Source organism: Homo sapiens, chromosome 3, assembly GCF_000001405.40.
Source record: "Homo sapiens chromosome 3, GRCh38.p14 Primary Assembly".
NCBI classification, from domain to species: domain Eukaryota; kingdom Metazoa; phylum Chordata; class Mammalia; order Primates; family Hominidae; genus Homo; species Homo sapiens.
In genome coordinates, this window is record NC_000003.12 from 33,577,270 (window position 1) to 33,593,446 (window position 16,177).

The following is a 16,177-nucleotide window of genomic DNA, read 5'->3' on the forward strand; positions in this document are numbered from 1 at the left end:
ATAACAGGACCATACAAACCTCATCTATTACCACAGAAACAAGGAATAGTGGCAGCACTACTGTCAGGCAAGGAGAGTTAGTTAACACTGGTGTTATTCTTTATAGTTAATGATCAGAGTATTGCCAAATAGGGCAATGGAACATTAGCATTGCACCATCATTCCTGACACAAAAACACATCTTACACCTAAGTGGACAGACAGGCCTACAGGAGACAAAAGAAGTATTCAAATGGAAGGAAATGTTGAAGGTACAAGCATGAAACAAAAAAACGAACATTATAGTGTAAAAAAAAAACCACTATGGTAACTAGTAACTAATAAAATCTTATCTCCTTTAATCCTGACATCCAATGAGGCAGTAAATTACTATTCAATTTTACAGATGGTGCTATGGTCTAACTGACTGACCTTCTACAACACCTGCTTCATTCATATGTAGAAATCTTAATCCTCAAGGTGATGGTATTAGGAGATAGGTGGGGCCTGTAGGAGCCAATTTGCCCTAATGACTGGGATTAGTGCCTTTACAAAAGAGACCCCAGAAAGCTAGCTAGCTCCTTCTAACATTTGAAAACACAATGAGAAGGCATCATCTGTGAACAAAGGAATGGGTCCTCATCAGACACCAAATTTGCTGGTTCTTTAATCTTAGACTTCCTAGTCTCCCAAACCATGCCGAATAAACTTCTGTCATTTAAAAGTACATAATCTATGTTATTTTGTTACAGTAGCCTGAACAAACTAAGATGAGGAAGCTAAAGCCTAGAGAGAGATTAATTAATTTGATTATAGCCACACTACTAGTAAGTGATACATTTCAGTATCTATACTCTTTTAATTCCTCTGCCCTTAAACAGTAGATGTACCATCTTTAATTTACATTGTTGAAAAGTCAATACACCTCATTTTGTTAACATTAACATTTTCCATAATGGTTCACATAACATAAATTCTGCATTCAGTATATTATTTAAATATCAAGGCACATTTGAATACAAAAAAATACTAATAATTTAACCAAAATGTAGAAATTTGTGACATATCTCCCTATATATTGCTCTAAAATCTAAATTTAGCATATTTTGCATAACACCATAAAGTTAACTTTTCTTTTACATACAGAAATGAATAGCCAAAAAATGCATTTTAATATTTAATAAAATACATTACTTTAATTTAGAAAGTTATTCTTCCTCAGATATATTAGAGCAGTTAAAATACTTTTAACATGAGTCACTCTTTTGTTTGCTACAGGACAGCCTTAATAAACAGGAAGACTGAAAGAAAGGAGGATGTAAACTAAGAGAATGCTGCACAAAATGTTTAGTTAGCCCCGAAAGGTGACTGGTATCATTAGAAAAATAAACTAAAATACATTGTTAGTTTTAATTTTACCTAACAGAAATAATTTCTAAAATGATGAGGAGGAGTTGAACAAATTTAAAAATGTCTAGTGGACAAAAATCTTTGAAACACTTTACAGAATCAATAGTTATCTGTGACTTGAAGATAATAGGTGTCTGAAATAAAGTAAGCCTTTGAAATATCTTGGTTCCAGAAATACATGGAAACTAAAGGTGCAAGTTCCAGAGAAGTTAAACTTTGCTCGGCTCTAATTTATTTCTGATGCTTTAGGGCCCTCAGGCTAAACTTGTGATTCATCTGCTGAATAACAATATCCAGCCATAAGCAACAAGGGGATTCCACCAAAGAAACAAATAATAGAAAGGACCAAAGAATGTAGGCAAATGTAGCAGAGAATGGGAATAGCAAGAACAACTTAATCTCTGGGAATGCTACCTTTCATCCCTGCAAAACAAACAGGGCTAATCTGCTGCCTTTGCTATGCAGTACCCATATGTAAATAAAATGGCTATAAAAAAGCCAATTCTTCTAAAACTATGACTAAAAGGTTTAGTCATCTTCAGTGCAAATAGGAACTTTCATGAGAATCAGGAAAACTGTTTCCTTTAATATTAAAATTTAAGTAATTTTAAATTGTCAAATGGAAGCTTTGAGATGAACTAGAATATTAATGACTAGACAAAATATTTCTTTAAGAACTGGTATATTAAACAATGTTTACTTTCACAGTAATTAGTAGTAGATTATAAAGGTCCTCTAATCTCTAACTATTGTACAGGTTTACAAAGTACAGAAACACATTTTGGTTTCTTCTTGATATGTTTTCTAGGAACGTGCAATATCAACATTATATAAATGCAGGTGCCATTAAGAAATCTGAGATCCTTCCCACTGAAGTGTAATTTAACTGTTTCTAGGGTAAGTGATTAGAGTTTCAGGGGGAAGAGGTAGAGTGGTAATAGCAGCAGCAGTGGTGGTAGCAGTGATGATGACCATGATGACCATGATAACTGAGTGCTCATTATGTGTCAAGCACTGCCTTGAGGGAGTTTTTCACGTATTTCTCATTTATGAGTCTCCAAAACAATCCTAAGAAGTACACACTATTATTATCCTTGTTTTATAGATGAGGAAACTCAGGCATAGAAAGGTTACGTAGCTGGGGAATGAACCCAGGCCACCTGACCCTATGATATACATTCTTAAACCACCACACACCCAACTCCACTTCCCTCCACTCCTGAAAGTAGGATGATTATTTTATACACATGTAGGATTTATTTCATTTCTTTAAATGTATATCCATGAGGATGCACCACGTATATGTGCATGCGCATGCACATGCACACATACAGACATTCTGCAGACTAACTCTATTGCATATGAACTAAAAATATCTCTGACAAAGTACCTGCCACACACAGCCTTAGTGATGTGGAACAGTTCTTTTTACTTTGGCACCTCCCCACAGAGGGAAAAGAAAGAGGGAAACTCTCTGGCACCTGGGGCTGGAACACAAACAAGGGTTGGGCATATTCCTGTGATTCTAGCTTTAATGGGGTTTTCTAGGTCAGTACAAAAAAGCCTAGTATATTTGAGCCAAATGGCCCAGAGAATGAGAAATTAACCACTAGAAATTCTTGGCCAGGTGCAGTGGATCACACCTGTAATCCTAACACTTTGGGAGGCCGAGGTAGGTGGATCACCTGAGGTCAGGAGTTCGAGACCAGCTTGGTCCAGTATCATGAAACCCCATCTCTACTAAAAATAGAAAAATTAGCTGGGTGTGGTGGTGGGTGCCTGTAATCCCAGCTACTCAGGAGGCTGAGGCAGGAGAATCGATTGAACCTGGAAGGTGGAGGTTGCAGTGAGCCAAGATCGTGCCACTGCACTCCAGCCTGGGCAACAGAGTGAGACTCCACCTCAAAACAACAACAACAACAACAATGAAAGAAATTCTATACTACCATATGTATCTGAGGAAATAAGAATTCCACTGGATAAGTAGAACTAGGTTCTCCCTGAGCATTCCAAAGTCCAAAGAGCAACCTTCTAAGTATTACAGTAAACTACACTGTGTTAAAGAAAAAAAATCTGGCCAGGTGCAGTGGCTCACGCCTGTAAACCCAGCACTTTGGGGGGCCGAGGCGGGCGGATCATGAGGTCAGGAGATCGAGACCATCCTGGCTAACACGGTGAAACACCGTCTCTACTGAAAATACAAAAAAATTAGCCGGGCGTGGTGGCAGGCGCCTGTAGTCCCAGCTACTCAGGAGGCTGAGGCAGGAGAATGGTGTGAACCCAGGAGGCAGAGCTTGCAGTGAGCCGAGATCGTGCCACTGCACTCCAGTCTGGGTGACAGAGCGAGACTCCGTCTCAAAAAAAAAAAAAAAAGAAAGAAAGAAAAAAAAGAAAAAGAAGAAAAAAAATCTAAAATGGCTACAGGCTTGTGCATTTAAACAAAATACTAGTTAAAATGCTGAAGGATCACGCAGAAATTCTAAAGATTCTCAATGTACATACAAAACTGTACCTCTCCAGTTATCCTAATACTGAATGTTTAAAAAATCATTTAATATTTTTATAATTGAGGTAAATATAGTATTACAATCAAGGTTACAATACAGTTGGGGACAAACAAGTTTTACCGCAGTGACAAGAGCATTAGCTCATAGGAAATGACTGTTAAACTGTAAAATATTATAAAAATGTTAATCCCTACCATTAATAAGTAGTTCAGATGTTATTTTGTGGCATTCTTTTTAGTAACCTAAGTTAAATGATCTAAGCTGAAATGTTAACATTTCCGCTGAAAAAGACAAAAGTATTTTATCAAACTAGTCCGCATTTCACTTGAGATTAAATATTTAAATATCTTTAAATTTGCAGGTTTACTTGTTAAGAAAGATCTAGACTTCAATATTCTGAAGTTTAAACCTGTGTGACATTTACTTGATTATGAAGGCAATCTGTTAATACAATGACTAACATATTCATTTCAGACATGTAAATCAAGTCAAAGGAATTTCCCAAACATGTAATTTCCTTTCCTCAAAATGACAGAAAAGGGGTAGAGAGAAAGATCTGTCGACAAAGAAAGCTAAATCCCAGGTATGCTGAAGTTAACAGATAGTGATAACACCATGGATAAGCAATGCACATAACACCTGCCCGAATACGTACCGAGGGGCTGAAAAGAGCGAACAGGACTTGTGTCTCTGCTGCTCTCCCGACTAGCTTCCCGGCTGCATCCTTGACTCACACTTGGTCGAGGAATACGACTGCTTCGGGCTGGTGTGAAGCAACAGCAGCACACACAGTAAGGGAGAAAACAGAACAGAGTTTGCATTTTAAAAAATTTTGTTTTTTTCTTTCTTAAAGACTGAACAGTAACTTAAATTTTTCTAAGGCTGAAAAGAAATTACTCTTGCTGAAGCATTACCAGGAATACAGTTAAATTCTTAAATATGGTCCTCTAGTTTGTATGAAATTAGAAGGGCAAATAATATTTTACCAAACTAAAAATGCTGCAAATAAAAATATTTAACATACTGTACAATACAGTAAAACTCAATTTTTCTCTTTGTTCACTGAACTATAGAGGCTTCTAACACTTTTGGTATCTTAGGTTAAAATCTTGCTTTTAATAGAGAGAAAAACCCTATACTTATCAAATATTAATCTAAAGTAAAATACCCATTCTTAAATTCTCAGTTCAAGATAAAGAGGAAAAAATGCCAGGTGCAGTGGCTCATTCCTGTAATTCCAGCAACATGGGTAGGTGAGTGGGGAGAACTGCCTGAGGCTGGGAGATCGAGATCAGTCTGGGCAACATAGTGAGACCTTGTCTCACTACAAAAAAAATACAAAAATTAGCTGGGGATGGTGGCACATGCCTGTAGTCCTAGCTACTTAAGATGATGAGGCAGGAGGATTGCTTGAGCCCAGGAGGTCGAGGCCGCAGTGAACTATGATCATTCACTGCACTCCAGACTGGGTAACAGAGTAAGACCCTGTCTCTAAAACAAACAAAAACAAAAGAGGAAAAAATAAGCCAATGCTTTCGATTCCCATTCTTTTTCTCACCTCCTCACAAATGAAAAACCCACAAATATGGAACGAAAGAAACAATAAACAGGGGTGAAGACTGACTAAAGGTGGAGTAGAGAATTTAAAATAATGTCTGGAAAACAAAAAGAAGTGAATTAGTTAGATGAAAACTTCAGAGGCTCATGGGCCAAATACCAGGCACAGAATAAATGAAAAGCGCTAGGAACAGTAATTCAGTCTGTAGGCCTAAACGAAATCGGTGCCATCTACTCAATAAAGACATTCTCAGACAAGTAAGGTTTCAAAAAGCTTGACTCCTACACACTATTTCTAAGGAATTATTTGTGAATGTGTACGAGCAAAGCAAAAGAGCAAAGGAAGAGAAAGAGGATCCAGGAGGGAGTGATTCAAACCAGGAAAGCAGCAAATAGGAATCTCAAGAAGATAGCTGAGCAAGAGGCCTAGATGCAACTAATCCAGAGAGAACTGAAAAGAAAGTCTGGAAAAAATAAGGAACTGCATATTTCCTTTCAGCAATACTGAAGGGAAAGCAATCCTAAAGGATATGAGAAGTGCACACTATTCTTAGTCACTTTCTATATACACAGCAAATGAAAACGTGGCATAATAAGTAAATAACTGGTATAAGTTATAATGACATAAGTAAATAACTGGTAGGAATGTAAGGAAAGAGAATTCATCTCCTTATAACAGGAACACTCTCCTTCAAGTGGTCCCTAGGGAACTCACTGTACCTTTGGGAAGAAATGGGTTCACAGTACACTAGGTGTCTTGGCTGCAAACAACATTCATTTACTCATAACACAGTATATGTTATTTACAGCTTTTCATCTTTTAAAGCCAACTTATGGAACAAGTACATAAGACTTGCTTGTGGATACAGAAGAAAATGTATGTGTAAACTTTAATAATGTAAAAATTGATAACTCTAAGAGTGGAAGGTGAAGGAAAAAGTATGGAAGTTGAGATACTGATTGAGGTTGACGAAACAAGAAATAGAAATATGAGTATTTTCTTTAAATATGAGAATATTTTTTAAAGTTACATAGGTAATCTGCAAAAGACTTAAAACAATAAAAAAAATTATTAAAAATAAACTGGAATAATTAGGGGCTTTCTGCTCTGGAAATGACGGATCAAGTAGCAGCTATCCTAAGGACAAAGTCAGCAACATGGTTGATAAAGCAGAAAAGAAGGAAGAGAGAGTGAGAGAAAGGGAAAATAGGCAGATTTTGGGTTCATCATAGCAATGTTAATTAGTCAATCCTGAAGGCCGTACAATCTTCAAACTTAACTAATAAATCCATTTTTAATGTTTAAGCTGGCTTCATCTATCATTACTATTATCTGAAATTGAAAGTATCCTAATCAATACACAGAGAAAATATTAAAGTTTACTAGTATTTGAATAGGGCTGAACTATAACACGAATGTCAAACACACAAGAAACTGTGTATATATGTGTATATGTGATAAATATGTTATAAAATTCCACAATAACCTTTTCCTTTAAAGTACTAGCTATATTTTTCAAAGCTCCTATGAATTATAGGGTTTGTTTGTTTTGTTTTGGGTTTTTTTTTTTTTTTTTGAGACAGAGTCTCCGTTGCCCAGGCTGGAGTGCAGTGTGATCTTGGCTCACTGCAGCCTCCACCCCAGGTTCAAAAGATTCTCCTGCCTCAGCCACCCGAGTAGCTGGGATTACAGGCATGCACCACCATGCCTGGCTAATTTTTGTATTTTTAGTAGAGACGGGGGTATTGGCCAGGCTGGTCTCAAACTCCTGACCTCAAGTGATCCACCCCCCTCAGCCTCCCAAAGTGCTGGGATTACAGGCATGAGCCACTGTGCCAGGCCCTGAATTACACATTTAAGATACCTAATTCAACTCATAAACTATTCTTCAATTGTTGAATTTTTAAGTTATTTTCTTCTAATTTGTAAGTCCTAATTGTATTCCAAAGTCTTCAATGCTGCCAAAGCCTGAAAAAAAAAAAAAAAGGGTTACATGTCTCACATAAAAAAAAAAAAAAAATCTTACCCACTGAAAGCCTAGATGGACTAGCCTCTCTGCTACAGCCCTGGCTCCGTGGTATCTTGCTTCTTTTTTGTGCTGAGGCTGAATTGACCAGGACTCTTTGAACACCAGAGCTCACAGTGGACAGGGCTGTTGTGGTCAGAACTCTTCCTGGAGACCCAGACCGGCTACCAGCTGAACACCAAACACATATACAAATGTTAACATGTAAATGCCAAGAGAATTTGCTGAAAGGATAAAAATTCAAGAAATATTGATAATACAGAGAAAACTGTGACAGTATGGCAGGTTCTACGCTCAAAGGAAATAGACCGAGGAAGATTTAAATATAATTATAACCTGGAAAAAAAAAGGTATACTACATATATGAGCACTAAATGGTAAATCATCTAAAATATACTTTCAGTTTTGGAGGTATAAGACACTATGTTTAATAAGGAGAACATTATTATAATTTTTAGAACACAAATGGTATACAAGATTTCCAAAGAAATCACTTATCTGACAATCCATTTCATATGGCTATCATGTTCTACGTGAATAAGCTATATACAGTCATATGTCACTTAACAATGGGATACATTCTGAGAAACGTGTTGTTGGGTGATTTTATCATTGTGTGAACATCATAGAGTGTACTTACACAAACCTAGATGGTATAGCCTACTACAGATCTATATGGTATATAGCTTATTGCTCCTAGGCTACAAATCCTATACAGTATGCCATTAACAATACTGTAGGCAACTGTAACACAATGGTAAATATTTGTGTATCTAAAAATACCTAAACACAGAAAAGGTACAGTAAAAATATAGTATTATAATTTTTTAAAGCTTTATTTCCAATGGTTTTTGGGGTAGAGGTGGTGTTTGGTGACATGAATAACTTCTCTAGTGGTGATTTCTGAGATTCTGGTGCACCTGTCACCCGAACAATGTACACTGTACCCAATACGCAGTCTTTTGTTCCTCATCTCCTTCCCAGTATTATAATTTTACGGGACTACTGTCACATATGTGGTCACTGATTAAATGTGGTTATGCAGAGCATGACTGTATTAAAAAAAAACCCGGTAATTCTATCACTATTTTTTGTTAAGTATATAATAATGATAATCTGTTTCATTTTAAAATAGTTTGCCTGCTGAGATTTCTCTGAATGGTACAGCAAAGCTATCTGTCTTACTATTAGACGTATTTTTAAACTTAACAAAATTAAATTTTAAATGCTGACAAAATTGGGCCAGCTGAAAAAGAAACTTGTTTTTTGCTATTTGTCTTCAAATAGCAAAGCGCTCTTGGGTAGTGACATTCTGGGTTATAGAAGTCCCAAGGGTAGAAGGGGAGTAAGGGGAAAACATCAAATGAATCAGATCCTTTTCTTTCTTTTCTTTTTTCCCCCCCGAGACAGAGTCTTGCTCTGTCACCCAGGCTGGAGTGCAGTGGCGCGATCTCGGCTCACTGCAACTTCCGCCTCCCGGGTTCAAGTGATTCTCCTGCCTCAGATTCCTGAGTAGGTGGGATTATAGGCTCCTGCCATCGCACCTGGTTAATTTTTGTATTTTTAGTAGAGACAGGATTTCACCATGTCGGCTAGGCTGGTCTCGAACTCCTGACCTTGTGATCTGCCTGCCTCGGCCTACCAAAGTGCTGGGATTACAGGCCTGAGCCACCACGCCTGGCCTCTTTTCAAATGAGTAATTTTCAGTTTTGGAAGGTGGACATGTGGTCAGGAACACAGGTAGAGTTAGTAAAATCTTTTCAGAGACTGTGCATGGGTTTAAAAAAAGTTTTAAAAACATGTTTTTAAACTAGAAATGCAAGGGTTAAATTTTAAGGAGATAAGCTCCCTGTCAATCAAAGCACTTTATGTCTACGTTGAATAGAAAAAGTACTAGATAAGAACTCCAAGATATAATCTAAATGTAGATTCAGAAAAGTAACAGAAAAACTAAAGTTGCAATTAAATAAATCTTCATGAAAGCAACCTTTTCCCTTCGTGGGCACTACTTCTACCCAGTAAGAGGGCTGTATGATTATATGTTATACAGTCTTACCCAATCAGGCTTCATTTCCACAGAGACTCAAATGCCAATGGGACAAGCACAGGATGTCAAAAAAGAGAGGGGCACTGTGTAAAGCAGGGAGTAGTAAGATGACTGATCAAGAGGGGGGGTGCCTGCCCTTTCCTAAAGTGAGAGGTGACTTTTTAGTTCTAGCCACCTTTGTCTTGAGGTAATAGTGGATAGGTCTTGGGATTTTTCAAAAATGAAAGCTTTGATATTTCCAGATTTTTAGCATGTTCTATAGGCCAAATAATACATAAATGGAGACAGACTAGACATGGTCCATGGGCTGGCGATCTGTGATTCTTTTTTTTCTTTCTTTTTTTTTTGAGTCGGAGTCTTGCTCTGTCGCCCAGGCTGGAGTGCAGTGGTGTGATCTTGGCTCACTGCACGCTCTGCCACCCAGGTTCACGCCATTCTCCTGCCTCAGCCTCCTGTGTAGCTGGGACTACAGGCACCCGCCACCACGCCCAGCTAATTTTTTGTATTTTTAGTAGAGACAGGGTTTCATCGTGTTAGCCAGATGGTCTCGATCTCCTGACTTCATGATCCGCCTGCCTCGGCCTCCCAAAGTGCTGGGATTACAGGCGTGAGCCACCGCACCCGGCCGATCTGTGATTCTTACTACAGTTTTCTTGGAATGGTCTTGCTGAATACAATTTATATTAATGCTTAATTCTTAAACTTTACCAGCATACAAAATGAAACTTATTTCCTATTAGTGATAACAATATTGTAAAACAAAGCAGTGTTTCCAATGAAATTAACAATTTACTGTCTGTATAGAAGGAATTCTAAATTATTGTAAGGAAATTATTCAAGTGTATTTTAAAATAGCTCATTTGAATGTTTCATGATGTTTCAAGCAAAGAATCTTTAAATCCAATTTCTTTCAGTTATAACCTTAAGGATACTCATATAAGGAACCTGTTTTCTCCATGCAGTGTCTAAACTGAACATACACACCAAAAACATCCAAACACCCAACATGCCACAACTCACAATGCAAGATAGGCCAATGGAATGTTTTATGGGAAAACTCGCAACAATATAAAAAGTATAAATAATGAACTGAGCACATACAATATGGTATTCTATTAAAACCAATATAAATTTGGGGGGTGGAAGTGTTGGTAGGAGAGACTGCAGAATTTCTTGAAATGTGGGTCTATTCAGCAGATAGGAAACTTGTAGTTCAGAAACAGAGTAACTTCTCTTTCTACTCTAGATTTACTGAATTTATTAAAATTATGCAAGCGCACTCTACAAATTTAAATTCAGTCCTGCCCTATCCTAGGAAATAAAATTGTCAGTGTTCATTTTGCTTTAATCATTAACCCTCTCCTCTGCAATACTCCTGATTCCCACCAAGAGTGTGATAATTCTAGTACCTATGACCCACTTTGGAATTATTCATACTTGGAAAAAAATACCAAGGCTCCTTCCCCAGTAAAGAGCCACCAACGCTAATTATTTCTTTTGGGAAAACCAGAGTTGTTGAAAAGTGTCATGATGTATCCAAGGAATAGCATGCTACCAGAAAATACCCATATTTGCAAAACTTGACATCGAACACCTATTTTCTCTTGTGCTACCTAAAGTTTTCAAACTACCATTTTATAGTTTTTATAGCATTTCAAAGCATGACAAAAGCTCCTGTTTCTTTTGAATGTTTATATCCACGGTATTAACTTGTGTCATTTAAAAAAAATCAAAATTTTGGTAATAAGACAAAGGCCAAAGAAAAATCACAATTGGCAATTTCTGCCCCAGTATGACTACAAATGATAGACTATGACGTTAAGAATTTCTGCTGAATAGAACCCATTCTTCATAATGAAAATAGGTGATCAAACAACAGATGCACACATAAAGTCTATAGATTCTTACCACCAATGGTATTAGCAGATTGTGATCCTGAACAAGTGTAAAGGCAGAATTAGGGTAAGGATTATAATCCATGAAGAGGGAAGGAGCAGTTTTTAAATGGATGGCAGATGGAAATAAGAAAGCTTTAGTCAGTTCTCAGAAAATTAAAAAACCCTAAGGCAAAAAAAGCAAACTTTAAAAAATCCCAAAAGCACAGATGTCTTTAACAAAAGCAGTACATTTAGTTGTTTTTAAAGCTAATCAACTGAAATCAGACACTCATGTACAAAGCAGATGAAATGAGACTGCAACAGTAAATGTAAATTCTTCAGCTTTTCTACTACTGACAGTCGAAAATCAAAATCATTAAATGTTTTCATTAAACATTTAATTTAAAACTACTCATAAGGAACAACTACAATATTGTACAGCTGAAGAAAAATTACATGAAAAAGCTACAAATGTCATCTTTCTTAAGATGCACCAAGAAAAACAAAAGATGGGAGGAGAGGAGACAAAGTTTCTGACGGGCTGTACAATCATTTGTATACAACCAGCCACTACCAACAGAAAAAGAGACACAATTTTGTCATAAATATAGATCTAGTGCTCTCTCCATTGAGTCTCCATTTATTTATTTATTTTGGTTAGCCATCAGAACACACCTGCTTTGATCTGAGAGACTTTTTTTTTCTAAGTAGTGATACAAAGATATGGTAAGACCATGCAAGCCCTAATGAATTACTTTATGACAAAGTAAGGATGATGATCACAGTAATATTTCTGTGCAAATATATTGTAAAGAAACTTGCATACAAATTACATAATACCTTTTTTACAAAAGAATTCGGAATGGAACATATAGTCATTCAAATAAATAAGCAAGCAAACAAACAAAAGTCCCTCCAATATAAAACCCAAATGATTTTACAGAGGGAAAGTCTTCTAATCTTAAAGTCCTATTTGGTCTAAGAAAGTCAATTACTGTGTTTTCACAATTTAGGAGAAGATGTGGAGGATTATGGAATGGGTTTCAAAGTGAAAAGCCAAATGCAAAAAATTATTCTATTTTCCAGTGAAGTGATCCTTACTTACAATGTACCTGAAAAGGAGGTCTCTTAAGTATTTTTAAAAAAAAGCCCTTTGAGTCTTTGCCCTAAGATCAGCCTCAGTATTGTTTCAGAAAAGAACTAATATCTCACAATTAATTTTTATCCTTAGACAATGGACATGGAAATTCCTGGTTGGTTATCTTTATGCTTCAATTTTCCTAACTTCATTGTTTATTTCTCTGTTTACTGAAGGCAGTAAGAATAACAAGGTACAGAAGTACACAAAAGCAGTCTAAAATTCAGTTGACATTTGATTAAAAATAATAAGGATCATCTGCAGTATTTAAAATTTTTTTAAATTTTAAAAAATTAAAAAATAATGACAATTTTATTAGCCAACATATATAGTGCTTATTCAGGGCTAAGCAATATTTTATGTCTATTAAATATGCTACATCATTTAATCCTCACAACAATCCTATGTAGATGCTATTCTCCTCTTCATTTTACAGATGAAATTATAGAAGTGCAGTAACTTCAAATAACCTCAAAGAGCCAGTATTCAAACCTGGGCAGACTCCAGTATCTATGATCTAAACCAGTATGTACTTCTCAAGACTTAACTGTGATATAAATCACTTGATGATCTTGTTAAAGATTGGATTCAGTAGAGCTGTAATGGCATATGAGATTGTATATTTCTAACTAGCTCCCAGATGATGCTAATACTGGTCTGGGCAGCACATATGGAAGCACACGTCTTCTAACTACTATGATATACTGCTAAAGATTAAGTTACTCTAAAAATATACAAGATCAGGGAAGAATATGATATGATCTACTGATTTAGTTGAGATAAAAGTTTTCCCATTCATAAATAACCCTCAAGTTGCAAACCAATTTACTTCCGCTTATTTTTAGGACTCTTCTTGGTGCTCTAATCATTATTCTGCCTGGATTTTCTGACTTTGAAAAAAGAGAAGGATCTGGTGGGTAAGACTTGCGTAATCACTATCCTGCCCCTCAATGCCCCATTCTCTTTCCTGATTTCAAAATTCAGGAATCAGGTTAAAAACAAACAAATAGGACATCCATATCCTAATAAATCACCTAAACAATGGCAGAAGAGAGTTAAATTTATTTCTTTCAAAAATAGCCAAGTAGGCTGGGTGCAGTGGCTCATACCTATAATCCCAGCATTTTAGCAGGCAGAGGCAGGAGTATGGCTTGAGCCCAGGAGTTTGAGACCAGCCTGGGCAACACAGTGGGAACCCACCTCTATAAAAAAAAATTAGCCGGGAGTGGTGGCATGCACCTCTAGTCCCAGCTGCTTGAGAGGCTGAGGTAGGAGGATCCCTTGAGCCCAGGAGTTCCTGGCTTGCAGTGGGCAGTGATTGTGCCACTGCACTATAGCCTGGGTGACAAGAGTGAGATCCTGTCTCAAAAAAAGAAAAACAAATAGTGAAGCACATGAATAACTCCTACAATTACTTCCCTAGAAAACTGTCCTGTTTTCAGAGGTAAGCACTAATGAAAATCTCTTGATAAAGAAGGAAGAGGAACAAATGATTTTAAATTAATAATGCCATAAATGAGGCCAGGAATGGTGGCTCACACCTGTAATCCCAGCACTCTGGGAGGCCGAGGTGGGAGGATTGCGTGAGGCCAGAAGAACAAGATCAGTTTGGGCAACACAGCAAGACCCCATCTCTTAAAACAAACAAAAAATTAGCCAGGCAGTGGCGCAAGCCTGTGGCACCAGCCACTCAAGAGGCTGAGGTGGGAGGATTGCTTGAGCCCAGGAGTTGGAGGCTGCAATGAGCTATTATCACACTGCTCTATTCCAGCCTAGGCAACAGAGTAAGACCCCATCTCTCATTCATAAATAAATACTTTTAAAAAATGCCATAAATATGTTTACTATTCTGAAACATAGAAATAATTAATTTTAGCTAGACCTCAAAATTGTACTTTTTAATAATCATGCTTATGACAAACTCAGCTTCCAGTGAAAGAGCAAAAATGTAAATCTTAAATTTAACATGAATGAAACAGAATCAGTCATTTCAAATTATGTTTCCTCACTATAAATTAGTATATACCTGCCAAAAATGGTAATCAAAAATAGATAATCTAACAGATTTTTGGGAAAATAAGATATCATGTATCTGTCCTTGAATTATGTTACCTAAGATATAACCAGATTTTGATGCTAATATATGGCAATTATTTCGTCTCTAAAAAGCATAATTTTCTACATTAGCAAGTTTCTGAGTAGAATGTGAACACCTTAATGCTAAGGATTTCTGCTATTTAAAATATCTCCATGCAAAAGTTTGTATGGCAAATGAAGTTTTTCTTTGTAAGTGGCAGATATCAATGATGCAGCCCTAATAAAACACCAAAGACAAGACAACACCCACTCAAAAAATTCCAAAACATGCACAACAACTGATCCAAAACATTGAAAAAAATACCTTCATTTTTGTCAGGTGATGATGAACCTAAAGTACAGAACAAGAACTCAGTATGTGGCTTGTCTTTTTTTAAATTAGCTTTGTCTTTATCCACTGGTCAATCGTCTAATACAGTAATACAAAAGCAACACACTTATCCTAACATAGTGACAAATATAGGAGGGCTGATAAGCAATACATACGCTGTGATTGAGACACCATTTTTGTTCGACTTCTTCCTCTAGAATCTGCCTTGGCATTTCCCATGCCAGCAAGTGGTGCTGAAAGTTTTGCTCTCACCCGGCCTGAGAAATAAAATATTTACATAATTAAAAACATTTTTCTATAATAATGTTTAATAATGAGAGGAGAAAATCTCACTATTTTTAGGTACTGCCAAATTCTGTAATAATGTAATCATCAATTACGGGTTCTATTTCTCTTAAAAATTTTATAAACAGTAATTTTTTTTTTACGTGTTATACCATAAGCTAATTTTCCTTCAAGGATAAGAAGAATCAAACTAAAAGATTTACATTCTTAGTTTATATATTAGTCCAGCAGTTACAATTAAGATAATCACCATAAGCATGTCACTTGTTTCTCAATTGGTAGTTGCAATTCTGAAATTTCAGTTTCCATGAAGTTCAGATTATTCTCAAGTCAACCCTACAGTTTTAAATATAAGCCTAAGCTTGGAAACAATTCAAACCATCCTTTTGACTGAAAATGTACTTCTAAAGGGATCTGAAGGAAGAGATATAATTAGGCAAAAGATTTAATCTCTTTATATCAGATTACTACATATGGTATATGGACATGTTTACTGCTCTCTTCCTCCAATCAACTATTTCATTTAGAAAGTGATTTGAGGAAATACATATCACATAAGAGTTAGCATTTTTCTCAATATATTTCTTTTCATACCTCCCGAACTGCACTCCTTTCTATTCTACCACTCTGCCTCATTCCCCTCCACAAAACTAGGCCACAAACATCCTCACCCTATTTCTAGGGCTCTTGAACTACAAGCAGCATGTCTGTCAAGTGCTTAAGTTAGCTGCAGTTAATAAAAATAAGTGAGGACAGAATATATTATTGGTGGGTACTTTGGTGTTCTTAAGCAATAGTCTCAACTGCTATCAAATCAGAACCAATAAGGTTTGTCATTCAAAAAGAAGGGCTCAGAATTATTTTTAGATAAAAGATACAATTTGTAGGGTATACATGAAATACTGGCTAGCCCAATATGACC

The 16,177-nt window shown here is 36.4% G+C and overlaps 1 protein-coding gene across 81 annotated transcripts in view, besides 3 other annotated features; it reads right to left on the reverse strand.

Moving 5' to 3' along the window:
• Positions 1-16,177, reverse strand: part of CLASP2 (cytoplasmic linker associated protein 2) — a 222,010-nt gene that overhangs the window by 81,025 nt on the left and 124,808 nt on the right. For 67 of the 81 annotated variants that reach the window (NM_001375713.1, NM_001400406.1, NM_001375705.1 and 64 more), the window contains 3 exons: positions 15,126-15,227; positions 7,481-7,651; positions 4,552-4,659 (listed from right to left, as the gene is read on the reverse strand). In NM_001375713.1, coding sequence (NP_001362642.1) covers positions 4,552-4,659; positions 7,481-7,651; positions 15,126-15,227 — 381 coding nt within the window. Of the gene's footprint in view, positions 1-4,551; positions 4,660-7,480; positions 7,652-11,435; positions 11,463-14,943; positions 14,971-15,125; positions 15,228-16,177 lie in introns of all 81 variants that reach the window. The other 14 variants (XM_047447755.1, XM_047447754.1, NM_001400427.1 and 11 more) reach the window with 2 other exon arrangements.
• Positions 25-535: an enhancer, noted in NCBI's record as "OCT4-NANOG hESC enhancer chr3:33618786-33619296 (GRCh37/hg19 assembly coordinates)". NCBI's record gives its function as "activates a minimal SCP1, AML or CMV promoter by ChIP-STARR-seq in naive and primed H9 embryonic stem cells {active_cell/tissue: H9 hESC(naive and primed)}" and the evidence as "EXISTENCE:reporter gene assay evidence [ECO:0000049][PMID:30033119]".
• Positions 536-1,046: an enhancer, noted in NCBI's record as "OCT4-NANOG hESC enhancer chr3:33619297-33619807 (GRCh37/hg19 assembly coordinates)". NCBI's record gives its function as "activates a minimal SCP1, AML or CMV promoter by ChIP-STARR-seq in naive and primed H9 embryonic stem cells {active_cell/tissue: H9 hESC(naive and primed)}" and the evidence as "EXISTENCE:reporter gene assay evidence [ECO:0000049][PMID:30033119]".
• Positions 1,426-2,007: an enhancer, noted in NCBI's record as "OCT4-NANOG hESC enhancer chr3:33620187-33620768 (GRCh37/hg19 assembly coordinates)". NCBI's record gives its function as "activates a minimal SCP1, AML or CMV promoter by ChIP-STARR-seq in naive H9 embryonic stem cells {active_cell/tissue: H9 hESC(naive)}" and the evidence as "EXISTENCE:reporter gene assay evidence [ECO:0000049][PMID:30033119]".